The 25,938-nt window shown below is 44.4% G+C and overlaps 1 protein-coding gene and 1 non-coding gene across 7 annotated transcripts in view, besides 7 other annotated features; one reads left to right on the top strand and one right to left on the bottom strand.

The window, feature by feature from the left end:
• The window catches only part of TRAF3IP2 (TRAF3 interacting protein 2), a 50,498-nt gene extending 32,609 nt beyond the window's left edge, over positions 1–17,889 (top strand). For 2 of the 4 annotated variants that reach the window (NM_147686.4, NM_147200.3), the window contains 5 exons: positions 287–375; positions 5,578–5,646; positions 6,710–6,826; positions 10,231–10,305; positions 13,719–17,889. In NM_147686.4, coding sequence (NP_679211.2) covers positions 287–375; positions 5,578–5,646; positions 6,710–6,826; positions 10,231–10,305; positions 13,719–13,865 — 497 coding nt within the window. In that variant the 3' untranslated portion in view covers positions 13,866–17,889. Of the gene's footprint in view, positions 1–286; positions 376–5,577; positions 5,647–5,990; positions 6,055–6,709; positions 6,827–10,230; positions 10,306–13,718 lie in introns of those variants that run through there. The other 2 variants (NM_001164281.3, NM_001164283.3) reach the window with 2 other exon arrangements.
• TRAF3IP2-AS1 (TRAF3IP2 antisense RNA 1) overlaps positions 1–25,938 on the bottom strand; it is a 118,824-nt gene that overhangs the window by 29,026 nt on the left and 63,860 nt on the right. The window lies entirely within an intron of this gene.
• Positions 6,835–8,034: an enhancer, noted in NCBI's record as "MED14-independent group 3 enhancer chr6:111886439-111887638 (GRCh37/hg19 assembly coordinates)". NCBI's record gives its function as "activates an origin of replication core promoter dependent on BRD2, BRD4, P300/CBP and CDK7 cofactors, and independent of MED14, by STARR-seq in HCT116 cells {active_cell/tissue: HCT116}" and the evidence as "EXISTENCE:reporter gene assay evidence [ECO:0000049][PMID:35650434]".
• Positions 6,906–6,955: an enhancer, noted in NCBI's record as "active region_24948". NCBI's record gives its function as "activates an Ori minimal core promoter by ATAC-STARR-seq in GM12878 lymphoblastoid cells {active_cell/tissue: GM12878}" and the evidence as "EXISTENCE:reporter gene assay evidence [ECO:0000049][PMID:35858748]".
• Positions 8,199–8,871: an enhancer, noted in NCBI's record as "H3K27ac-H3K4me1 hESC enhancer chr6:111885602-111886274 (GRCh37/hg19 assembly coordinates)". NCBI's record gives its function as "activates a minimal SCP1, AML or CMV promoter by ChIP-STARR-seq in primed H9 embryonic stem cells {active_cell/tissue: H9 hESC(primed)}" and the evidence as "EXISTENCE:reporter gene assay evidence [ECO:0000049][PMID:30033119]".
• Positions 10,737–10,937: a silencer, noted in NCBI's record as "peak6037 fragment used in MPRA reporter construct". NCBI's record gives its function as "represses an SCP1 promoter by STARR-seq MPRAs in K562 erythroleukemia cells {active_cell/tissue: K562}" and the evidence as "EXISTENCE:reporter gene assay evidence [ECO:0000049][PMID:32103011]".
• Positions 13,407–13,906: an enhancer, noted in NCBI's record as "H3K4me1 hESC enhancer chr6:111880567-111881066 (GRCh37/hg19 assembly coordinates)". NCBI's record gives its function as "activates a minimal SCP1, AML or CMV promoter by ChIP-STARR-seq in naive H9 embryonic stem cells {active_cell/tissue: H9 hESC(naive)}" and the evidence as "EXISTENCE:reporter gene assay evidence [ECO:0000049][PMID:30033119]".
• Positions 17,805–22,785: an enhancer, noted in NCBI's record as "VISTA enhancer hs1690". NCBI's record gives its function as "enhancer in: neural tube[5/7] | somite[5/7] | forebrain[4/7] | branchial arch[5/7] | heart[4/7] | facial mesenchyme[5/7] | other[5/7]" and the evidence as "EXISTENCE:transgenic organism evidence [ECO:0001131][PMID:17130149]".
• Positions 19,796–20,488: an enhancer, noted in NCBI's record as "NANOG-H3K27ac hESC enhancer chr6:111873985-111874677 (GRCh37/hg19 assembly coordinates)". NCBI's record gives its function as "activates a minimal SCP1, AML or CMV promoter by ChIP-STARR-seq in primed H9 embryonic stem cells {active_cell/tissue: H9 hESC(primed)}" and the evidence as "EXISTENCE:reporter gene assay evidence [ECO:0000049][PMID:30033119]".

The following is a 25,938-nucleotide window of genomic DNA, read 5'->3' as shown; positions in this document are numbered from 1 at the left end:
ATTTCCTTAGGCTTGTCTGAGCCTGCCAGTGCTCTCCTCTGTCGCTCTGATTTCCATTCACGCTGAGCAGTCTGCACTCCCTTGGACAGACCCACTGGCATTTTGGGCCTGAGGAGCTGTGCCCTGAGGACAGCATACAACGTAGGCATAAGCTCTTAGAGCACCCCAAGCCCAAGGTTTCCTCTTATTATTCTAGAAGGACAAAAGATATTGCATATAATTTAGAAGTTTGTTTACAATAGAATAATTTGATCAGTTTCTAATAAATGTAAAAATTTTCTCTTAGGGAAAGTCTTTATCACTTATTCGATGGACACAGCTATGGAGGTGGTGAAATTCGTGAACTTTTTGTTGGTAAATGGCTTCCAAACTGCAGTAAGTATTTTGTCCAAATAGATAACTGAACAGTTATAGTGAGTACAATGGAGAGAAAAGCAGCAGAAGAAAAAGTGTAATAGCTGTTGGTGTTTTAAATGATATTATTTGATTTATGTGATTATGCATTGAATGCTTATAGATTTAGGTAATAATTTTCTAGATTTTAAGCTATCTGAAGTCTCCAGCATTTTTTTCCTGTATGCTGTTTGAGTGACCCCAAGTACCTCTGAACAGCAAGATCAGTGCTAATGCTGACCACATATGCAGCGGCCCCTGGCCTGAAGGAAACGCCGGGCTCTTGCTGCACTTTGTACCTTTGTCCTTTCTCACCAATCATGCCCACTTTGTCTGAGTTTCCCATGATGCAGGAAGCTGCAGGCTTCACCATGGTCACCTGCTTATTTAACAAGGACCTTTTGTTCTGCACTGGGTTATGAGGTTTGAAGTAGAATCCTGCAGCCTGAATCCCCCATTGCGCACAGCTGCCATTTTCATACCTTGACGCAGTGATGCTTCTGGATGGGTGATACTGGCCAGGTTTGGGGCTGGTCTAATCCAGTTCCAGGGGAGGCTGACCTCACCCAGCCCTGCAAGCCCACTGTGATCTTGGCTCCAGAAATCTCAGGAAACACACACTGCCCCTGTCCCCCTGCAGTCCCTTGACACAGTACAGCTTAAAGCCATGTAAATTTTTCTCTATGATAAATAAAGTACCACATGATGCTACTCAGGGGACTGGCTTTCCTCAAACACTGAGATAACTTCTTTTCCTTTCCAGAGCCCTCTTCTAGGCCTTTTCTAGTGAATTCTAGAGAGTGGTGAAAAATTAAGGGAAATATCTATGAATATAAATGTCTATGGGTAAAGAGGGATACTTAGTAACTAAATATCAATTTTAAAAGTTATTTAGTATTGTTTAACAGGAGTTTTTATTTGAAGCTTTCTTTATTCTATAAGATAATTTTTTTTTTTTTTTTGAGACAGAGTCTAGAACTGTTGCCTGGGCTGGTGTGCAGTGGTGTGATCTTGGCTCACTGCAACCTCTGCCTCCTAGGTTCAGCCTCTCAAGTAGCTAGGATTACAGGTGCCCACCACCATGCCCAGCTAATTTTTTTGTGTGTGTATTTTTAGTAGAGATGGGGTTTCACTATGTTGGCCAGGCTGGTCTCGAACTCCTGACCTCATGATCTGCCAACCTTGGCCTCCCAAAGTGCTGGGATTACAGGTGTGAGTCACTGCACTCGGCCAAGACAATTTTCTAAAAAATGAAAATGAAAGTTCTTTTTTAAAAAATGCATACAACTTATACAATCCAACTCCATAATTATATAGAGACTAATATTTCCCTTTCTCATTTCTGGTATAAGAAAGCACTATAGCAGCCAGGCGTGGTGGCTCATGCCTGTAATCCTAGCACTTTGGGAGGCCAAGGCAGACAAATTGCCTGAGCTCAGGAGTTCGGGACGAGCCTAGGCAACATGGGGAAACCCCATCACGACTAAAATACAAACTATGGCCAGGCGCAGTGGCTCACACCTGTAATACCAGCACTCTGTAAGGCTGAGGCGGGCAGATCACCTGAGGTCAGGAGTTCAAGACCAGCCTGGACAACATAGTGAAACCCTATCTCTACAAAAAATACAAAAAAATTAGCCGAGTGTGGTGGCACATTTCTGTAGTCCCAGCTACTTGGGAGGCTGAGGCAGGAGAATTGCTTGAACCCTGGAGGTGAAGGTTGCAGTGAGCCGAGATCTCGCCACTGCACTCCAGCCTGGGTGACAGAGCAAGGCTCTGTCTCAAAAAAAAAAAAAAAGAAAAAAAAGTTGGCATGGTGGTGTGCGCCTGTAGTCCCAGCTACTTGGGAGGCTGAGGCACAAGAATTGCTTGAACCTGGGAGGTGGAAGTTGTAGTAAGCCGGCATCACACCACTGCACTCCAATCCAGCCTGGGCAACAGAGCAAGACTCTGTCTCCAAAAAAAAGAAAAAAAGAAAGCACTGTGGCAACTGTGACATAAAATCAAATTACACTGGGTGTGGTGGTGCGTGCCTGTAGTCCCAGCTACTTGGGAGGCAGAGGTGGGAGGATCACTTGAGCCCAGGAGTTGGAGGCCAGCCTGGGCAATATAACAAGACCAGGTCTGTAATATAAATAAATACTAAGACATAAGGCCAGCATTTCAGAAAAGATCTTACTTTTTGTCATTTCCAAAGACACATACTGATTGCCCCTGGAGGAGAGCTTAGGTTTTGTTTGTTTATCTTCACAACCAGGGGCCACATAGGCAGAATTTAAATCTGTCCCTGACCCTCATCTCTATGAAGACTTGTGGTAGAAATCACAGAGCCCGGTCCTGGACAGCTAAGTTATTATTGACACATCTAGATCCCCTTAGTGGAATGAAACACTTAATGAGTAATTTAAGGAGAGTGTAATAAGGGGCCTATTACAAAGCTTTGGGTAGGTTTTAGAGAGTCCAATTTTATTGGGGATAGTGCAGTATTCTGGCACTAGCAAAAGCAGGGAGTTGTTACTGCCCCTAGGTCTAAAGAGTCAAAGAAGGAATTCTTACTGGAAGATGAAGAGGATGGCTATATTAGTTTGCTAGGATTCCTATAAAGTACTACCGATTGGGTGGCTTAAGCGTAGAAATTTATTTTCTCACAGTTCTGGAGTCTGGAAGTCCAAGATCAAGGTTTCAGCAGGGTTCATTTCATCCTGAGGCTGTCTTCTCCTTCTGTCCTCACATGGTCTCTCCTCTGTGTGGACACGTCTGTGTTCTAATCTCGTCTTCTATGGACACCAGTTCTGTTGGATTAGGGCCCATACATATCACCTCTTTTTATCCTAATTACTTCTTTAAAGGTCCTGTCTCCAAATACAGTCACATTCTGAGGTAGGGTAGGGAGATAGGGCTTCAACATAGGAATTTTGGGAACACAATTCAGCCCATAATAGTAGCTGTGTGGAGGAATGATCATAACAGGAGCTATGGACTTTGGGAGAGACTTGGAGAAACAAATGGAAGATATCCAGCTCATTGCACCACCCAGGATGTCCACTACAGTAGCTGGGAATAATTTAGAGTGCTTGGATAATAACAATAATCACTATTTTTTATTTATTTAATTTTTTTTGAGACGGGGTCTTGCTCTGTTGCCCAGGCTAGGGTGCAGTGGCACGATCTCGGCTCACTGCAACCTCTGCCTCCCAGGCTCAAGCAATTTTCCTGCCTGAGCCTCCTGAGTAACTGGGATTACAGGCACCTGCCACCAAGCTCAGCTAATTTTTTTTTGTATTTTTAGTAGAGACGGGTTTTCACCATGTTTGCCAGGCTGGTCTCACACTCCTAACCTCAAGTGATCTGCCCCCCTCAGCCTCCCAAAGTGCTGGGATTACAGGCGTGAGCCACCACGCCCGGCCAATTATCACCATTTACTGAGTGCTTATTTCCTGCCTGGCATTATGATAGGCCTTTTCCATGTTAACTCATTTTAGTTCTCACAACCACCGTAGGAAGTCAGTTTATTAACTACATATTACAAGTGAAGATAAGATTTAGAGAGTTTTAGTAACATTTCCAAAGTCATGCAGGTGGGAAGTGGCAAAGCCAAGACAGAACCCAAGCTGTCCGTTTCTTCTCAACCCTGACACTATATTGCTTCTCTCCCATATAATAGCAATGGATTAGTGACACAGTCTCAGAAAGCTACAAAAGCGTTCTCAAGAGTAGTCGTTGGCCATCACACATTTGAAAACAGGAGTCATCTAAACCAAAATAACAGCCATTCCATTTTTCATGTAAAGACACATATTCTGAACTCTGTACTCTATGTATGTGATAGTTCGGTATACACAGGGCATGGTCTCTTTCCGTAGGAGGCTTAGCATCAGGTTGAAGAGACACAGCAGACATAAATGAAACATGTCCTGAATAAAAGAATGTTATCATACGTGTTAATTGTCCAGTATCATTAGTGGTCACAATGGGGTAGAGTTAGGTGAAGTGAGGAAGAGGAGGAGATTGGCATGTGGGAAGGATTCACAGAGCAGGGGGGTTTGTGCTGTGCCTTTAGGGTACAGGGGACTCCAATGTGGGGAGTAAAGTAGACAGGATATGTGAGGAAAAGAGAGGCGAGGCTGGATCATGGATGGCGAGGCTGGATCATGGATGGATCATGGATGGCTTTTCAAGTGATCTGCCTGCCACGGCCTCCCAAGTGCTGGGATTATAGGCATGAGCCATCGTGCCTGGCCTGGAATGACATTTAGGACAAGTAATCTGGGAGCAGTGCAGCTGAATCACGTAACCCCTCCCCAGGGACACTCTCCCTGAGTCACCCATTCCAGTATATAATCCCTCTTCCCATCAAGAGCATCTCGTAAACACACACGTGCACGTACACACACACACACACACACACACACACACACACACACACACACACACACACACACACTCTGCAGTATAAGCCTGAGCCCAAGAAGGGCCTTCTTATTTGGTTTCTTATAAAATAAAAAATAACTGATCTTTCTCCTTTTAAAATATCCCTTCAAAAACTTGAATGCTGATAGTAAATATCAGTCTTTTCAAGGCCTAAGAGTTCTACTTCTGACTTTCATCATAAACCTCTTCCCTACCGTTTCAGTAATTGTTTTTGTGACTGTTCCTTGGCTCTGCTCCAAGTTTCATACAATCCTTTTGAAACATATAGATTGAAACTGTACATAATACCATAATAATGACCTCACTAATGCAAGTAAAGCACCACAATTGTATCTCAGTTACTTGTATGCCACACATCCATTAAAATGTTCCAGAATTATGTTTGCCTTTCAAATGTCTAAATTACAGATATATAATATATGTATATTGCTGGCTTATATCCAACTTAGTGGTATACCGTGTCCCTCAGATTTTTAAAAACCTGATTATTGTGTAGCCATAGATATATTTTGATGTGTATCACAATATCCTAATTATGGACATAACATTAACTACTTAAATGCCTACTAATGTTGAAATAGGGAATATTTTCAGAAAATTATATTTTGTTTTTTAGACCTATGTGCTCCTTCTTGCAAAAAGCATTAGTTAAGTTTTGGAGCTTTAAATGTATATAGTATTGTGTTTTCTTCTGCTCTGCATCTTGAGAGAACCTCTCATTAAGGGCCAACTCCCACATCTTTTTTTTTGCAGATTGACATATTTGAGGATAGAATCCGAGGCATTGATATCATTAAATGGATGGAGCGCTACCTTAGGGATGTAAGTACATTCCAAAAACCAGAGTTTGTTTTCTGGTGAGAAAGACAATGAGCTTATGAAGTTGTTTTATTAAAGAAACCCTGGCATACCCACCTAAGTCTGAAGCTGAGAAAGCCCCAACAAAGCCTCCCTTGTTGGAAGCCGTGCAAAGACTTGGAAAGGAAGGACGGAGTCGCCCTCTTGGACATGCACAGGCAGGAAATAACGGTCAAACCAGACACAGGTGGTTGATAACAATCAGAGGAAACAATCTTTTGACGAGAATAGGAAAGAAGGAAATGAAGGCGGAGAGTGGGGAGAGAGCAGCAGAATTCAATTTAATCTGAGGCCACCCCAAGTGTTTTGTAGAATTGGGCTGAAGAGGTTTCCTAGGCAGCCTCGCAGGCTGCACAGCACACCACCCCCGAGGTGCCCACGTGCAGCCCCGTGATTTGTTCTCCACTGACAGAATCTATACCGGCCACTGGGACACGTTGTGCTTTAACAAGATCGAAATTGATTGCTGCCAGCGTGTCCGTGTCGGCTGCTTCTTTTGGAGGGAGCCAGTGGGGGACGGGAGTCTCAGCAGGCTGGGGTGTTGCACTTTTCCTTTTGTCTGCAGCCTGATGTTTGCTTTGTGCTGAAGGGTCTGTTCCTACTGACTGTGCTAATGTGTACACGCAGAAGACAGGGCAGTCGAGTGCAGTGACTGGCAGCTCAGAACCAGCTGGAGGGAGGGAGGGTGCTTCTTACTGTTGGTGTTGCAGTGCCTTTTTGCCACGACACAGACTCACTCAGTGATTCGGGCTTTCATTAGAGGTTTATTAGTGATGGTTGTGGAAAATGGTAGGCAAAAGCACATCTATTTGAGAGAGCCCCTCTCTGAGCCATTTGCTCTGCATGTTCAAGGTGGGGCTGGGCTGGAGACAGAAGGGAGAAGCAGAGATAAGAGTCTGCCTGAGTGGGGGCCAGTGCTTCTCTTTCTATGGAGAATGAGCCTGGCCCTCCACCCCGTGTGTCAGAGAATGCCCACAGTCCTGCTGGTACACTTCCATAAACATGCCTTTCTCCCTCTCATTAACAGAAGACCGTGATGATAATCGTAGCAATCAGCCCCAAATACAAACAGGACGTGGAAGGCGCTGAGTCGCAGCTGGACGAGGATGAGCATGGCTTACATACTAAGTACATTCATCGAATGGTGAGTGGGGAGGGGATCACAACACCTCACTGTCCCCTGGGGATGGATACCTTGTCCAGGGAAGTCCCATTCTTCCCCAGAGACCAGCTGAAGGCAGCATGATGCTGGGTGAAGAGCTCCAGGCTTGCCATGTCAGGAGAGGAGCTGTTGGTTCTGGCTCCATCTACCTTAGGGACTGTGGGCAAGTCCCTGCACCTCTGGGACTCAGTTGTTCCTATCAGTTGCAAGGGGAGAGCAATCTGTCATCTCTAGGATCCAAGATTCTGGAAAGACGTGCTCTGCTGGCTTGGCTGTTTACCAGCAACTATGAAGTCCTAGGAGGCAGGAGACGGGGTGGTGAGGAGGGCTGGCCCCTGCAGCTGTATCATGTTCTGTGCCCTACCTTTTCAGAAAGGCAGGTGGCGTAGTGAAAGGGACACCTGCTGTTGCATCATGTGGGCCTGGTTAAAGTTGGCTTCCTCATGTACAGGCTGTGTGACCGTGGCCCCACTGCTTAAACTCTTTGTGCCTCAATGTCCCTATTCACAAAATGGGTCACTAATACTTACAGGATTGTCGTGAAGATGAAATGAAATAATGTTTTCAAAATATCTGGTGCATATCAGATGCTCAAACAAGGGAAGGGAGTGTTCTTAGCTCATGACAGGTGGGGAACTATGGGGCCTGGTTATATTCAAATAAGTGGGAGACATTTAGGATATTAAACTTGTCCAGCATGGGATAAAACTAGAACATTCTGACCGAAACAATCACCCAGCGTTGGAACTGGCTGTTTTATGGGCTACGAATCCTCCTTCTCCCCGTGATTATAGAGACGCTGTGAGACAGTTTCTGCTTGACTAGGAGGCGGTGCTACACTTGTGACTTTCAGGCTGTCCTGTGGAGTTCCCAGTGGGTGCCCATATGTGCTGGAGGAGGGGCTGGGTCTGCGCCTCCCACCCCTACCTCAGCCAGAGCTGGTCTGTACTTCTCAGGCTTGTTTGTTGACCAAGGATTCTGAGATTTAAAAAGGCTTGGAAAATCACTGGACTAGAACTGATAAGCTCCATTTCAGCTCTAACACTTCATGAGGGGGAAGGCACCTGGAATGGGCATAGAGTGTCACTAAGATGGGAAGATGGGGAGGGCACAGTCAGGCTGTCTCGGGGCACACAGCTTTACCTCAGGGGAAGCAGATGTAGGTCCCAGGTCTGTCCTGTGGGTCAGCAGCGTGGGAAAGTAGGAGGGTGGGTATTCCCCATCTGAGTCTTCATGGTCTCTGTCTCCCTTTCCACCAAGTGCAGACCACTCACGTGAGCTCACAACCAAACTGAAGGAAGAGCCGAGGCAAGGTGATGAGGTTAAAAAGTGAGGCCAGGGAGTCAGGAGATAAGGCTCCCTCCTCTTCTGGTCTCAACCAGTCTCACAGCCCTTGTACAGTGCCCCGGAAAGGTATCATTCCTGGGAGTAAACTGCCTGAAAAGGTCATGGCTGGCTCGGGGTGCTGCCGGCCCTTGGTTGTCTGATGCATGTCTGCATGGCCTCAGAGCACCCAATGTCCTGTCTGCATCTCTAGGAACCTGCCAGTCCCAGAAGCTGACAGCTGGTGCGTGGGAAGGGCTCGAGGCCTCAGCCAGTTCCTAAGGAAACCTGTCTAGCTCTGTGGGTGTGTGGTGTAGCCAGGCAGTAATACACAGCTTGGCCTCAGAGCTTGTCTGACTGTACCAACTGGAACCAAACTGTCGCCAAACTTGGTTTCTTGGGCCACAATGTCTTGGGCCCTTACTCATCATAGAAGGGGTCGAAGAGGTCAGACACAGAAGTGCCTTCCTGACTGCCTGGCTGACTTCCTGCACCCCTCTAGGCAACAGAAAACCCTGGAACAACAAGAACTTGGCCATGACAGAGGTAGTGCAGAGGTACTGATGAGTAACTGCATCATACAGTGAATTAGTTTACAGAAACTCAGTTTCTGGAAGGGTGAGAGAAAATAAAAATGCACTGCTGCTGGCTGGCCCCTCCACAGGCTGGGCAGCCTAGTGCACAAGCCAAACTTCACAGTATACGGAGTCCTAGAAGTCAAACAAAACTCAGTGCTTCACTTGTAACTTATGCACCCCATCCCCTTCCTTTCATGTGTACTCGGTGCTGGTGTGGTGGGTGCTTCTAGCTGCACAGTACTTGGGTCATTTTAAAATATGTTCTTGGTGTTATCTTATGGTTTTTAGAGAGAGGTGGTTCCGAAAAAACACCTTGTGGAGGATTTGTGTGTGTTGTGTGATCGTGTGTGTGTGTGTGTGCGTATGCAACTATGTGAGAGTGTGTGTTTATGAGGGGTTTCTATGGTGATTTCAATAACCAGCTATCACCACTGTCACTTTCTTCTCTGTTCTGTTATTTCCATGCACAATGAAAACTTCTCAGTTATAAAAATGAATTGGAAGATGAAATGGTTGGAAACACATAATTCCTCGTCTCCTTCTCATCAGATGACTGAAAGCTTTGTGCTGGTCACAGGATTTGGAAGACTCTAACTCCCCTCCTATTGAAAATTCTGATTTTTGAGAGAGTTCTTGGTAGCTAAATCTTCTTGGGCTACCACAGTGTCAGAGCATATTGGAACTGGTGTGAGGAACCTAAAGCCTGGCAGATGGAGCTCTTCGCAATTGACATCCCCTCTCTGCCAAGCCCATCTTGTGCTCTAGTCACAGTGCATTAGTAGCTGGTCCCAACCACATCAACACACTTTCACACCTCCAGACATTTGCTCATGCTGTTGCCTCTGCCTCTGTTTTCCCTACTTGACCAAAATCTTTTCTTTCAGTGCCCAAATGAACCCTCTTTTGTAACTGTCCTTCCAATCTCTGATGTAGAATGGATGGCCCCCATTCTGGGCTTCTAGAGCAATTGTTAATACTTTTCACCCGGCACTCTGGTTGGTAATTTCCCTTTCTGCCTGCTCACTAGACTGCTGGCTTTGTGAAGATAGGGACTGTATCTGTGGTGTTCTGCTAAGCTGGCTCTCCTGATTTGTAGCACTTACCTATTTCCATGGTATAAATACTCTCCAATACCATCGCCAATTTCAAGCTATCAGTGTGAAGTCACTGAACACAGAATTAGGAAGAGATGCACACAACAAGCTTTTGTGAGCTGCTGCAAGCCAGTTCCAGCATACCCTGGAAGGTATCCTAATCCTTAAAACCCAAAGTCTGACATAGAATGTGACTTCTAACAGGCCTCCAATAAACGACTGATGAGTGAATGGAATAGATGTGTAATGGGGAGGCCTTAAAATGTTAAGTGTGTGGCACTCAAGTATGGAAATCAGAATAAAAATGCCATGTGGACGTGCATGATTATGGGTACCATTAACTCCTCATCCTCATTCCTGAAATTAAACCTTCACATTTGTTTGGTTTCAGATGCAGATTGAGTTCATAAAACAAGGAAGCATGAATTTCAGATTCATCCCTGTGCTCTTCCCAAATGCTAAGAAGGTAAACAAACAAAGAAACAAAATCCTCATAATTCAATCTTTGGTTTGCTTTGCCATCTGGGATTTTAAATGGAAAACCTTGTCCATTCTTTTTTTCTTTCTTTTCTTTTTTTTTTTTTTTGAGATGGAGTCTCGCTGTGTTGCCCAGCCTGGAGTGCAATGGCGTGACCTTGGCTCACTGCAACCTCTGCCTCCTGGGTTCAAGTGATTCTCCTGCTTCAGCTTCCCAAGTAGCTGGGATTACAGGTCCCTGCCACCAAGCCTGGCTAATTTTTTTTATTTTTAGTAGAGATGGGGTTTCACCATGTTGGCCAGGCTGGTCTTGAACTCCTGACCTCAGGTGATCTGCCTGCCTCAGCCTCCCAAAGTGCTGGGATTACAGATATGAACCACCATGTCTGCCATCAATTCTTTATCAATCCTTAGAGATAACAATGTTACCAGAAAGATCAACAAGTTGTACCACTCAGTTCAGCAGTATGAATCAGGAGGGTTTTAAAGCTATCTGATAGGATCACTGCTGTCCTAATTGTTCAAAGAACCGTTGCACACAAAGATGTAGTTTCTGTTTTAACTCAAGAAAGAAAAAGAGAAGGTTCATGTCATACTTCTTATCTCTTGTACATAAAAGTCAAGATGTGTATGGTTTTTGCTGGCTGTTCCAGGGAGGCATTTCATTGCACATAGTTCAGCTCTCAAAGCTAATGATTACAGGAATTAAATCTATAGTTACCTGAGTGAACTTTGCCGTGATTCATATGAGGCTTTTCACACCAGAAGGGTCTGCCAGCAAGTTTGGAGAATGGGGGCAAAACCACCTGAGGCCACATTCCATGCTTGGCAAAGGGAAGGCAGTGGTGGAGTAAACATGTTGAGAATCAGACCACAGCACCCTAAACTCAGGCCCTGTTTCACCCTGGAGGGATCCTCAGATGTCAAGACTGCACTGAGACCCCTGCCCTGGATGAGGGAGGCTCCAGTTTATGGGAACGGGACACCTCAGGCTGTATGGTGCACAGCCTGTGCGATGGCACACCTTTCTATCCTCCCTGCGCTGCCTTTGCCCAGGGTCTCACTGCTGTCACTTACTGATGAGTCTCCTTACTGGTCTCATCTCCACTTTGACCTTGTGCTAGCCATCCTCTCCTCTGCCATCAAAGAGGAACATCCAAAATGTAGGTCTGATCTGTTTCTTGGTAGCTTACAAATTTTGTGCCGTTTTCCCATTGACTACAAGATCATATCCACCTTTCTTAGCACGATCTATGAGGCCTCTCAGAAGAGGACTGTGTCCCCTTGCGTAGTTTTCTCTCATCACCCTCTGTAGATGCTGTGTGCTCTGGTCACCCTGGACCATTTCAGCATGCCCTCACACATGCTGTGTTCTTTTGTCTCTGTGCCTTTGCCTTTTCTGTTCCGTCTGCTTGCAATGCCCTTCCCTAACTTGCCTGCCTAGTGAACTCTTACTTACCCTTATATCACCCAATCTCTCTAGCCTCCCCGACACCTCTTTTGGTTGTTTGTTTTGAGACGGAGTCTTGCTCTGTCATCAGGCTGGAGTGTAGTGGTGTGATCTCGGCTCACTGCAACCTCTGCCTCCAGGGTTCAAGCGATTCTCCTGCCTCAGCCTCCCGACTATCTGGGACTACAGGCATGTGCTACTATGCCCAGCTAATTTTTGTATTTTTAGTGGAGATGGGGTTTCACCATGTTGGCCAGGATGGTCTTGTTCTCTTGACCTCGTGATCCACCTGCCTGGGCCTCCCAAAGTGTTTTTTTTTTTTGAGACAGGGTCTTGCTCTGTTGCCCAGGCTGGAGTGCAGTGGTGCAATCTCAGCTCACTGCAACCTCCACCTCCCAGGTTCAAGCAATTCTCCTGCCTCAGCCTCCCAAGTAGCTGGGGTTATAGGTGCTCGCCACCACGCCCAGCTAATTTTTGTATGTTTAGTAGAGACAGGGTTTCACCATGTTGGCCAGGCTGGTCTTGAACTCCTGACCTCAGGTAATCCACTCTCCTCAGCCTCCCCAGTGCTGGGATTACAGGCGTGAGCCACTGCGCCCTGCCCTGACACCTCTTTACCTTCATGCTGATATATTTCATTGTCCCTTTCTTAAGGGTGCTTAATTCTAGCACCTTGGGTCAATGGTATGTGTTTGGGTTGAGGGTACTGGGAATAATTGTTGAGAATTATTGGAGCATGGCGATATACAAAATAGACCAAATTTTCATTGGTTTTGTTATTATTTTTAAATCTCCTTCAGACAATGCCCGTATTACCTGAGCCCAGCACAGGCCGCTCTCACCACCTGTCCCCTTGGTACACCATTGACTAGAAAATCATTTGTTGACATTTTGCTTTCATCCTAAGATTTGAAGTCCTCAAGGCAGTCCCTGCGTCCTTTTCATTTGGGCATCCTCAGTACTCAGTATGATGCCTGCCATGCAGCAGGTGCTGCTTCTAAGCACAATACCTAGAGAAGTCCCGTCCTATAGTCCCTAGGAGTTAGACTCAAAAGCAAAGGCCTTATGGTGGCCTACAGGGCACTATCCGATACAGCCCCTTCTACTTCCAGACCTCTGCACCTACTCACTCTGCTCTACTCACAGTGGCCTTGTTGCTTGTGAACAGACCCAACACACTCCCTCCACAGGGCCTTCGCACTGACTCTCCTATCTGCCTGGACCCAGACAACCACAGAGCTTGCTTCTTCCACTCTTTTAGGTCTTTGCTCATTTTCTCAGTGAGACCTCTCCTAAGCACCCCGTTTAAAACTGCAAATCTTTCACCCTTGCCCCAGCACTCCCTGTCCCCTTTCTTGTTTAATTCTTCTCCACAGCATACATCACTGTTGAACACACTATCCATTTACTTATTATCTGCCTCTCCCCACCAGAACATCCACTCCATGAGGGCAGTCTGACACTGCACCCCCAGGATCCCTGGCTAACAGTTTCTGCCTCTGCCTGATCACTGAGGTCTGATGGGCTCCTTCTACTGCAGGCCAGACCTGGGGCTGGAGTGAAAGAGTAATGAATTGATTTAAGCCTACGGCCCTGGCATACTTCTTCTGAAGTCACAGGGGAATTCACATCACTCTGTGTGACCTCTGTCCTACCCCTTTTATGTGAGGGTGGTGAAAAGCAAGTTGAAATGCAAAGGGTAGGTAGTCTGGGAGACTGACAGAAAATGCTGTGCACATGTGGTTTTTATAATGAGATATACAGCTTGTACCCGAAGCCAAGAACATTTCACATGCTAAACCTTTCCAAAAGCAAAACAGCACAACTCCCAGGATAGTTTGGTAGGAAACGCCCATGTAGGGAAAGCCAGAAATGTTTGGGAACTGAGCCTGGGATCTGGCATCCAGGTTTTTCTCTAATGACCTTTGCTCCTGTCATTCTGCCTCCCATAGGAGCATGTGCCCACCTGGCTTCAGAACACTCATGTCTACAGCTGGCCCAAGAATAAAAAAAACATCCTGCTGCGGCTGCTGAGAGAGGAAGAGTATGTGGCTCCTCCACGGGGGCCTCTGCCCACCCTTCAGGTGGTTCCCTTGTGACACCGTTCATCCCCAGATCACTGAGGCCAGGCCATGTTTGGGGCCTTGTTCTGACAGCATTCTGGCTGAGGCTGGTCGGTAGCACTCCTGGCTGGTTTTTTTCTGTTCCTCCCCGAGAGGCCCTCTGGCCCCCAGGAAACCTGTTGTGCAGAGCTCTTCCCCGGAGACCTCCACACACCCTGGCTTTGAAGTGGAGTCTGTGACTGCTCTGCATTCTCTGCTTTTAAAAAAACCATTGCAGGTGCCAGTGTCCCATATGTTCCTCCTGACAGTTTGATGTGTCCATTCTGGGCCTCTCAGTGCTTAGCAAGTAGATAATGTAAGGGATGTGGCAGCAAATGGAAATGACTACAAACACTCTCCTATCAATCACTTCAGGCTACTTTTATGAGTTAGCCAGATGCTTGTGTATCCTCAGACCAAACTGATTCATGTACAAATAATAAAATGTTTACTCTTTTGTAAGATTATGTTTTACTTATCTCAAAGGAGATACATATAATTTATAATGATATGGGCAGTTGCTTCCAGGGACATCAACAAAGCTGCTTAGATATAATATTAGATAAATATAACAGACCACTCTGTATTAATGGATTAAAGCCAGCTAGTTAAACAACCCTTTTTAACCATAATCATGGAAGCTTTATTCTTGCAATAAAGATTTTTAGGCTGGGCGCAGTGACTCACACCTGTAATCCCAGCACTTTGGGAAGCTAAGGCAGGCAGATCATTTGAGGTCAGGAGTTTGAGACCAGCCTGGCCAACATGGTGAAACCCCATCTCTGCTAAAATTACAAAAAAGTTAGCCGGGCATGGTGGTGTGCACCTGTAATCCCAGCTACTCGGGAGGCTGAGGCAGGAGAATCACTTGAACCCGGGAGGCAGAGGTTGCAGTGAGCCGAGATCATGTCACTGCACTCTAGCTTGGGAGACAGAGCGAGACTCCGTCTCAAAAAACAAACAAACAAATAAAAACACCCATTTTTAACAAAACAACTTTATATAGCATACAGCCATGATTCTAAATAGTATGATTATGGTTCTCAGGATCTGACTACATAGGTAAAAATATTTGCATATGTGTATGAAGTGTTGGGGGATGTAGGCTAGAATTGTAGTCTGTGTTCTAATTTTGGTTCTACCACCAATTAGCTGTATGACCTTTAGCAAGTCCTTTAACTTTTCTTAGATTCCAGGGACTCATTTATAAAATGACATGGACAAAAGCATCTCTAATCACTCTAAAAGATTTGAAGTCTAGGACCTAAATTCTAAATACTCTTTTGAGGAGTGACTGAGTTTTCATTTTCATAATTATGTCTCTCAGAGGACAAATTTACATTTTCTTAACAGAGACATTTTCTTCTTCTTTTTTTTTGTTTGAGACAGAGTCTCGCTCTGTCGTCCAGGCTGGAGTGCAGTGCTGCAATCTTGGCTCACTGCAACCTGCGCCTCCTGGGTTCAAGTGATTCTTCTGCCTCAACCTCCCAAGTAGCTAGACCTATAGGCGCCTGCCACCATGCCCAGCTAATTTTTGTATTTTTAGTAGAGACAGGGTTTCATATTGGCCAGACTGGTCTCGAACTCCTGACCTTGTGATCCGCCCACCTCGGCCTCCCAAAGTGCTGGGATTACAGGTGTGAGCCACCACACCCAGCCAACATTTTCCTCTTTTAAAAAATATCTTCTCACGCCTGTAATCCCAGCACTTTGGGAGGCTGAGGCAGGCGGATCATGAGGTCAGGAGATCAAGACCATCCTGGCTAACACGGTGAAACTCCATCTCTACTAAAAATACAAAAAAAATAGCCGGGCGTGGTGGCAGGCGCCTGTAGTCCCAGCTACTGGGGAGGCTGAGGCAGGAAAATGGTGTCAACCCGGGAGGCGGAGCTTGCAGTGAGCCGAGATTGCGCCACTGCACTCCAGCCTGGGCAATAGAGTGAGACTCCGTCTCAAAAAAAAAAAAAAAAAAAAAAACTTCAACAATACCCTCAGGTTGATAATTTTGGATATCTATCTGTATCTATATATCTTGTTTACCTGGTCTCCAGAAAAAGAACACATACACATATCCATATATAAAATATGTATACATGTATCAAATCTACGTAAACTATAAAGGTGGGATGGCTTTAATTATGGCCCAAGCTACTAAGACAATGAAGACTTTTTGGGGCTGCAAGCTACTGCTTCCCTTCTTTATCTACTAGCCTCTTAAACAAGGCTCACTTGTGCTACAAGACAGTCCACCGTTTTGTTTTTTTTTTCTTTTTTTTGAGACAGGGTCTCACTCTTTCCCAGGCTGCAGTACAGTGACACAGTCTCAGCTCACTGCAGCTTTGACCTTGCCGGGCTCAGGTGACCCTTACACTTCAGCCTCCCAAGTAGCAGGGACTATAGGTGTGCACCAACATGCTTGGTTAATTTTTGTATTTTTTGTAGAGACAGGGTTTTGCCATGTTGTCCAGGCTAGTCTCGAATTCCTGGGCTCAAGTGATTCACCTGCCTTGGCCTCCCAAAGTGCTAGGATTACAGATGGGAGCCACCACGCCCAGCCCAGTCCAGCTCTTATATGTAGCACAGGGAAAGGACAAATACTTGTCAACTATAAATAAGAAACATTGCTAATGCATTGCAAAGAACACTAGTTTCATTTACTTTATAACTTAGATGTCTACTGGGTGAGACGAATGTCTTTGTTCTTTAAAAAATAGGAAAAGAGAAGAAAAACTAGCATAACATAAGTACTCATTTGTAAGACTTTCTGACATGTAACATTAGTTCCGTAGTTTTGAGACCTGGTAGAACTGACTTTCATATTTGGATAACCTGGAAAACACCCAAACACAAACTTCAAGTCTTCTTTCTCTTTTTTCATTATCTTTTTTAGTCTGAGGTGACACCATCATTAAGGATTCGACACCCGTTTGTAAATAAAATGACATCAGCAATTACTCTGAAATGTTTCTAGTTTGCAAAGACTTAGCAATGTGATGTTATTAACCCTTCCTCCCTTCAGAGACCTGTCCTAAGCTCTGAACCACTCATTCCTTCCACTCTTCTTACCCCAGGTGGTTGATGAGCAGTGGTCCCTGGTGTTCCACAAAGAGTCATTAAAGTGTTACAGCTGGTAGCACTGGTAGCAAAAAAACAAACCAAAAAGTACACACAGACACACACACACACACGCACACATACACACACACACGCACTTGGCCAAGTGACAAAAGCTTGGCCCCTGAAATTTCTATGAGATCCGATGACCACCAACATCAAAGCATTTTTTTTTTTTTTTTTTTGAGACGTAGTCTCGCTCTGTCACCCAGGCTAGAGTGCAGTGGTGCAATCACAGCTCACTGCAACCTCCACCTCCCGGGTTCAAGCGATTCTCCTGCCTCAGCCTCTCGAGTAGCTGTGACTACAGGCACCTGCCACCATGCCCGGCTAATTTTTTGTATTTTTAGTAGAGACGGGGTTTCACCGTGTTAGCCAGGATGGTCTTGATCTCCTGACCTCGTGATCCATCCGCCTCGGCCTCCCAAATTGCTGGGATTACAGGCATGAGCCACCACGCCCGGCCCATCAAAGGAATTGTAACAACTATTTGAGAGCACTGACAATAAGATTAACACTCGGTTGATTTAGATGTTATGCTGGTCCTCAGGCATTCATCTTTAGATATTTTTGGGGTGGAAGTGGGGTAGGGCTGACTTAGTAAAAATAACCTCTTAGCCCAAAGGCTTTATTCAGACTTACACCGATTTGAGGGGTGGGTTTGTGGAATGCAAGGTTAGGTTCTTACCTAATATTTGATGACTAATTTAGAATTTTAAATGTAATTTTAAATTTTAGTGACTGGTTTCAAATCTATTTTAACTTCTAGATTGTTCAAAGAGGTCTCAGTACATGGCTACAATCAAAGTATTAGACTAGCTATTTCTCAGCTCAGTGCTCAGAAAAATTATTACTGTTGATACCTTTTTCTTTGTTTCCTGTTAAATAAATCACCTCTTTAAAGACAGAATTTTTCTCGGAGTCATCTCAGCAAGGGATGCAAGTTCTCCATTTTGAACATTCCACCCTAGTTTCATGATGTTTTGCCAAGAGCATTTTTCTTTACCCCAGCTGCTTCGTCAACTACCTCATCCACTTTGCCAAACACCCCATTGTCACCACCACCTTTGCCAAATGGATTGCAAAGTCCTATGATCATGGGAAATGATCCAGAAAGAGTCTCTGAAAACACAAGATCTTTCTGTTTCTTCTTAATGAACCAGGAAGAATCAGTGAGACCCACCTCCTAGTGGCAAATGAAAAGAGAAGGAAGGTTACACTGTGGGAAAATACCACAGAGAAGAAATGCCTCTCATCCCAGAGAATTATGCACTATTTTTCAAGAAAAATAGTTCTATTTTAGCCTACTAACCAAATAAACAACAACAACCAAAGGTCGGGGGGAAAGGAAGAAAGAAAGCACGAAAATCAATTAAATTCTCAGATCATTTATTTCTGTTATGGAACTTTCAGTCTAGAAAGAGACCCTAGAAATCATATATCCCTGCAGCTTTGTTTTATACACAAGGAAAGCAGGGCCCAGAGCAGCCGTGGCTTGTCTAAGGTCATCCTAGGACTAGAACCCGGATGTTCTGATTTCCAGACTGCAGACATTTATTTGATGAATCTAGAAAGCTTTCTGGTTTTTCACAGTAGATGTGTTCAACAAATGACCTGGTGTCTCCCTGAAGAGATACTTCCCTCTCCCTGAGGGAAGAAGTACCTCCATCCTCTAGTGACTGGAGGATTAGATGATCATGTTGCAACTTGTTCCGTTAGAAATTCTTTGGGGAATTGATTATTGCTGTGATTATATGAAGTATGACTTTTCTTGAAGTGGCTTGGCATATTTATCTTATACTGCTATTATATGAAACTGAAGCACAATGTAAAAGGTCTTGACACTTGCCTGACACAGACAAAATCTGCTATTAGTCAGATCAACTTATTTATTTATTTATTTAGAGACATGGTCTTGCTCTGCCACCCAGGCTGGAGTGCAGTGGCATGATCACGGCTTACTGAAGCCTCAACCTCCCGGGCTCAAGCGATCCCCCCACCTCAGCCTCCTGAGTAGCTAGGACCAAAGGTGCATGCCACCACGCCCAGTTTATTTTTTAAAAATTTTGGCTGGGCACAGTGGCTCACACCTGTAATCCCAGCACTTTGGGAGGCCAGGGTGGGCAGGTTGCCTGAGGTCAGGAGTTTGAGACCAGTGAAATCCCGTCTCTACTAAAAATACAAAAAAAATTATCTGGGCATGGTGGCACATGCCTGTAATGCCAGCTACTTGGGAGGCTGAGGCAGGGGAATTGCTTGAGCCAGGGAGGTGGAGGTTGCAGTGAGCAGAGATAGCACTACTGCACTCCAGCCTGGGCAACAGAGCAGGACTTCGTCTCAAAATAAAAAAAATTTTTTTTTTTTTGTAGAGACAGGGTCTCATTATGTTCAACCCAGGCTTGTCTTGACCCCCCTAGCTCAAACAATCCTCCCACCTTGGTTTCCCAAAGTACTAGGATTGCAGGCGTGAGCCACCTCACCTGGCCCAGATCAGTTTCTTTTAGTTGTATCTGGCCAATCTCCAAAACATCAACAATGAAAAAGATTTTTAAATACTGTGATATTCATCTTCCTGTCACCATTCTTTTTTTTTTTTTTTTTGAGACAGTCTCACTCTATCGCCCAGGCTGGAGTACAATAGTGCCATGATCTCAGCTCACTGCAGCCTCTGCCTCCCATGTTCAAACGATTCTCCTGCCTCAGCCTTCCTAGTAGCTGGGACTACAGGCACCCACCACAAGCCCAGCTAATTTTTGCGTTTTTAGTATAGACTGCATTTCACCACATTGGCCAGGCTGGTCTCGAACTCCTAACTCCTGACCTCAAGTGATCTGCCCGCCTCAGCCTCCCAAAGTGCTGGGATTACGGGTATGAGCCACTGCGTCCAGCCCGTCCTATCACAATTCTGATTCCACAAAAATGGCACTTCTTGGAATAATACTTAGCTGTTTGGAACATCTGCATTACCTTTTGGATGTAGACATGAGAAACGTATGGTCATGCTGGCTCGCCTTTTGAGGGAGGCTGCACGAGGCACTTTAGCATACAAAGGAGCCTCGCTCAGTCAACACAGCTGGCATGCTGGGAGGTATTGTGCCCAGGCAGGATAGCATGTTCCTAACTGCATATGACTTCTTCCATTTTCTATTGGAAAATGCTTTAGGATAGGATCACTTTTGGATAGGGTACTTGGCGGCAGGTGGGTGGCTTTTGCAGACCCTGGCAGTCACATGTTGCCAACTCACTGTGCATTTGCTCCCAAATTCTTAGCCTCAAGCAAGCAGGTGGGATCTGTAAGAGGAACACTCAGTGTACTTTAGTTTTCTACTTAACTTTTCAAGGAATATAGGAGCATGGGTCCAGGTTATAGGTATTGGGTGATTAGGAAGTGATATTTGAGGCTTTGCTAAACAATGAAAGTCTTGGACCAAAGTGTACCTGGGCAGAGGTGACCATGTTCTGGGCCTGCCTGCTTTTTTTCTAGAAACTCTCTTATGGAAGGAGTAACTGCAGCCCCCAGATCTCCCAGGGCTTGTAAACGAAAACCATAAGGGCACACATTTCTTGTCCCTTGCCTGACCTCCCTTTGCTCCCTTCACCAGGAAGGGGCTGATGGAAATCGGCAGCTGGGGAGAGAGGGGAGAGGGAGGGAGCTAGCGCGCGAGAGAACTCATGCCTGATGGATCCCATTAGGCTTAGCGTGCAAAGCAAGTTGAGATGAAGTAGCTGCTCTGGTATGCATCCAAAACTGCTGTTCTATTTTTAGTCCCTCCCGCGTGCTTCTTAGGCTCGCGTTGTATGCGCCTGGGCACCTGGATCAGCAGCAAAACATGGAACTGAGCCACTCATTTGTAAAAGTGGAAGGCAGGAGGCCATTGATGCAGGGCTTGTTTATTGCTGACAGGGAAGAGGGACCTGGAATGTTAATGAGGGTGGCTCTCTGAAGCATGCCTTCATGCTTAGCAAGGAGTTCAAAGGAGAAGGCAGACTCAGTCCTGTGCTGAACAAATGTGAACCGTTGATAGAGGGAAGGAGAAATCAATTATGCTGTCGCAGGCTTCCATGTCATTGTGTTGGAGTTGTTAGAAAAGGTAGGACAAGGACCAGATCCCAAAAGGAAACAAAGCCACATGGCCTTGAAGTATAACGAGTTTGCCATGGCAACTGATGGAAATGAGCCTCCCCGGCACCGAGCAGGTGTGTTATCTTACAGAATAAACACACTTCTCTCACTCCCTGGTTTTTATAATAAAACCTGTGTTTGGATTACTTTCCCCTCCTCTTTGTTACCCAGAGAAGTTGGCTGTTGCTCAATTAACCCAAGGCTCCGGTGAGGGAAATGTAATCAGTGTTATCAAAAGGGCTGCTTTTGAAAAGGCTGGCGCTAGACTTGGCTGCCAGCCTCATCGTCGAGCAGCAGCTGGGCCGCAGGTACCTGCCTGGCCTTTGCCACCTTCCAGGCGATGCCCTCCACTGCAAACCACTTGTTCTTGCCTTCACTGAGGTGTTAACAGTGAGGCCGGGCTCTCACACTGGGCAGTGGTCAAAAGCTGCATTCTTCTCAGGAGAGGAGAAACAGGTTTACGTGAGGCTGGGACCAGACCAATTTTCAGCATGCTGTATTGTCTGGGCTATGGGCCAAGGGTTCCTTGAGTTCAGGGATTAACTGATTCTATCTTCCAATCTGTTGTTATCTACAAGGTTCAGTTACTCAGAAACTTGAAGAAAGCTGCTACTTTCCTGAGATTTAAATTCCTCTCAGATGGGTTCTGGGGTGGTAGAGTCTCATGTCTGAAATGTACACAAATGGGGAGATTTTATAAAATCCTCTTGAGTTAAAAAAGTTTACTTTTAATTTTTACGAGGCCAAAATAACAATAAAGTTCAATAGCTATATTTTCATTGCTCTCATTTGTAATTAAAAAGTCCACTTTAGCTTCAAACTGATTTTCAAAATAAGATGCCCGTTCTCCATGGGCTCCTAGAACACAGATGGTTTCCAAACAAGACTGTGGTAAAACCAATGACCTGCGGAGAAATTCTCCAGCCAGGGCCAGCCAGCTGAGGGCTGCGCGTCAAGCAGCAGCCTGTGCTCGGCAGCACTAAGGGCCCTTCTCTGCTTCTGCCTGTGTTCCTACTTCCCTCCAACCAGATGCCCGGCACCACCCCCCTTACCCCTTCCATCAAGCCCTAGCCTCCCGATGATGCCTTGGCTGCCCCTTCACATGTCACCTTACCTTTGACCCTAAGAAGAAAAAAATGTCTGCCTGAAGAGCTAATTCCACCTACGGCATCAGTGGTGAAAAGGGTTTCATGGGATAATCCTCCAAGCCAAAACAGTATCCCAAGGCTTAGGCACTAAACCTCCCCACTCTTATTCCTAACACAACCATCAGACCCTCACCCAGATCACATTTACTCTTACTTTATATACATGGTTCTAACAAGAGCAATTTTCTGTTTTTCTAACGCTTGGTAGGTTAGAAGTTGCCAGTTTAGCAGGACAATAGGGAAGAAGGGTTAGAGGACCAGCATCTTGATGGAAATGACAGCTGACATTTTGACAAGGTGGTTTTGTCATGAAAATATTAATATTTTGAAGCACCCTGAAAAGCACTAGTAAATATTCAGCTTTTAAAAAAATCACTAAGTAATGTTTGTAAAAGCAAGCTTACCTCTAATTTTCACCCAGGTCAAATCAAAACAGCCACATTAAAATGTCCAGCTTCATTGGTTCAGATCATGTACTATAGCAATAAACACCCCTCAGAAGTCACTGATAACATCACAGCTTTCACAGCAAGTGACTGGTTTTAAAAACAATATCTTTAATCATCTGGAAAAGGTTACATCATGTTTTCTCTATTTTGTTTAAGAAGGTCATTGTTCATCTCATTTAAAAGGTTTCCTTAAGGTGAAGCCATTCGCTCATTCCATTCCTGGATGATACCCCTAATCCAAGCCAGGGCTTGGCTCAGCCTGCCCTACACAGGCCTTGTCAGGCCCTCAGTCCAAAGGAGAAGCTTAAGACTGAGGTCCTCCAGGCACCAAGTAAGGGGAGTATTTAGGGCATTTCATATTGGATCTAATAGGTGGCTGCGGAGTCCACTTCTGATGCTGTAAGGTGAGCTTAACAGGGGCATTCCAAAGTGGTTGAGCAGGTTCTTTCCATATTCAGGTTTTTAAAATTCAAGACTCTAAACTGGTACCATATACTTTGGGTACCAGCATAATGTTATTATTTGAAAAGACACATGAGGCAGAAGTCCCTGACACCACAGTGTGAGCATGGGAGGTCTGGTTCCATCATGCCTAATAAAACTGTCATTCAAAAGCTAATCCAGAAAGGCTGCAAGGTGAGAGTTCAGCAGCACCCACAGCAACTAACACATAGCAACCAGACTCCAACTACTCATTAAATGCCTACTGTGTGCAAGGTAATATGCTTGGCACAAAGATGAGTGACACACGCTCTTGCTCTCTAATTACTTAAAATCTAGCTGGGGTGATATAACACCAACATGTGAAAAGGCCATTAACAACCCAAGGCAGCATACAGTAAATGATAAGGAAGTGGGTCAGCTGGTCCCTTTTCTCCGACCCTCACTGAGCTCACATTGATGCAATTTCAAGGTGAGATCTTTAAAGAAGCAGGGACTGCTGAATTTTCCTAATAAACAAACCTGCTCACTTCCTCCTTCCCACATATACCCTTTAGATTATAATATTCAAAGTCTCCATAAATCACTATGTAAATGCAATCAGAGATGGACACAGAATGTAAAAAGTTGGAAAAGTATGTAAAAGCACCACAGAATGTGCATATTAAACCAACAGATGATAATGCAGCCCACAGGGCATACATCACACCTTTCTAAAGAGCAGCCTAGAACCATGCCTCAAGAAGGGCCAGACAACACTGCAGCAAGTGGAGTGGTAAGGTTGTGTGTTTTACATTGCAGCCCGCACATCTGGAAAGGCAGATGTGGCCAGTGTTGGAACCAGCTGGGAGAGAGCAAATGGATTTCTGTACTCTGCTAAGTAGGGTGTGGGAAATGTGTGAAGTTGAGTCCATCAGCTAAGTATACAAATAACTGAGCGAGAAAGCAGAAAATGATAATTTGCTGGAATGGGCAAAGAAACTCTATGAATGAATATTGGCATTGTCCAAGTTCCCCAGACAAAATCTGTTGCAGAAAACACTGCCCAAGCTGAGTCTGTGAGGTGTTTTCACGTTTCTCACTCACACAGTGTAGCTATGGAACCAGACAAAGGTGGGCTTGAACCTCAGTTTACTTATTACAAGTTGGGTGACCTTACGCAAATTACTTTACTTCTCAGAATTTCAGCCAATGATATGGGGACGACAGAACCGACTCCCATGGAGATAGTTAGAATAAGGTAAGATGAAGAATAGAAAGCTTCTAGAATACTGTCTGGCATCTAGTAAATACTCGGTAAATGTTCCTTTCTTTCGTGCTCTTTCCTTCTTGCTTTCTATCCCACAGTTAATGATTATGGGGACTTTGACTATTACCTTATTTCCAAAAAGTTAAACAGCAAATCCTAACAACAAAAAAAAAACTTTCATTTTAAAAAGAAAGCCTAGGAGAGGTCAACAATATGAGTTTTAAGCTGAAAACCTCCATCTAATTTTTCAGGGGAGCTCATCAGCATAGTTTATTTTCTTAATAAGGCCTGGGAGAGGCCACAGCTGACTCACAGAACATTCAGAGCACCTTGAGATGTCTTTCCTCTAACATCTTGCGAAGGAGCAAAGCTCCTAGCAGCACTGGCTAGAATAATTAAAGGTATAACATATCAAAATCTGCCAATGATGTTTGACTTTAAAGGAAACTTACTTAAGAGATTCACAATGGGGCTTCAAAAATAGGATAATGGATTTGAAAGTATTTTAAAAAGTAACTTGAAAGACAGTATTGTGTTCATATTATACTTATTATTAAAAAGGAAGATTTGAATTCAGGTAGAACACTGCTATCCTCTCCTCTGATTCTGCTTTTCCAAGAAATGAGGTTTCACTGTCATCTCCAACACAGCCCACTCTGTGAGCTAGCCAAGAAGGAAAAGTCAAGAGGGTTGGTTGAGCAAACACTGAGACTGAAAGAGAGCCACCATATTGATTAGTGTGTCTCACATCTCTTTTTCTTTAAAGGATAAAAGTTCTCTTGAAACCCCTCCCCATGTTGACTTAAATAATTTTCATTATATAGTTCCTTAAATATGTACAAATATGTAGTAATTAGGTATAAATGTTTTATGCTTGTAGCTAACTAAAAACTATACAAACACAAAAGAAACCGTTCTAGAGATCTGTTGAACAACTATGTGAATATACTTAACACTACTGAACTATATACTTAAATTATCTTAATAATTTACCATCTTAATGGTAAATTTTATTATATATCTTTTTACCACAATTTAAAAAATCACAAGAACAAATCAAATTTACAGATTAAGTGAAAACAAATCATCAGTTAAATTCAAATAAAAAAACATTAATTCAGTGTGAAAGTGGTAACATTTGCTGAAACTAAATAACTAATATTGGGTTTAATTACAATTTATACATATAATGATAAAAGTATAACATGATGCTTTTATAGATTTTATTTCAATTGTTGACTTATATATTTGACTTATATTTATCAAGCATGATACAGTCATTTGACTCATAATCATTATCATTATTATAATTTTTCCCTCCTACAAGGTTATTCATTGGAAACCATCAGTTCATTGTTTTAATTGGCCCACTTAATTTAAAAATGACGTTCTCCAAAATATAATATTGACAAATTATTTTATTTTAATTAATTAATTTTTTTTTTGAGACGGAGTTTTGCTCTTGTTGCCCAGGTTGGAGTGCAATGGCGGGGTCTAGGCTCACCGCAACCCCCGCCTCCAGGCTTCAAGCAGTTCTCCTCCCTCA

Source organism: Homo sapiens, chromosome 6 (assembly GCF_000001405.40).
Source record: "Homo sapiens chromosome 6, GRCh38.p14 Primary Assembly".
NCBI classification, from domain to species: domain Eukaryota; kingdom Metazoa; phylum Chordata; class Mammalia; order Primates; family Hominidae; genus Homo; species Homo sapiens.
The sequence above is the reverse complement of the archived record's forward strand: the minus strand, read 5'-3'. Positions and strand labels throughout refer to the sequence as shown.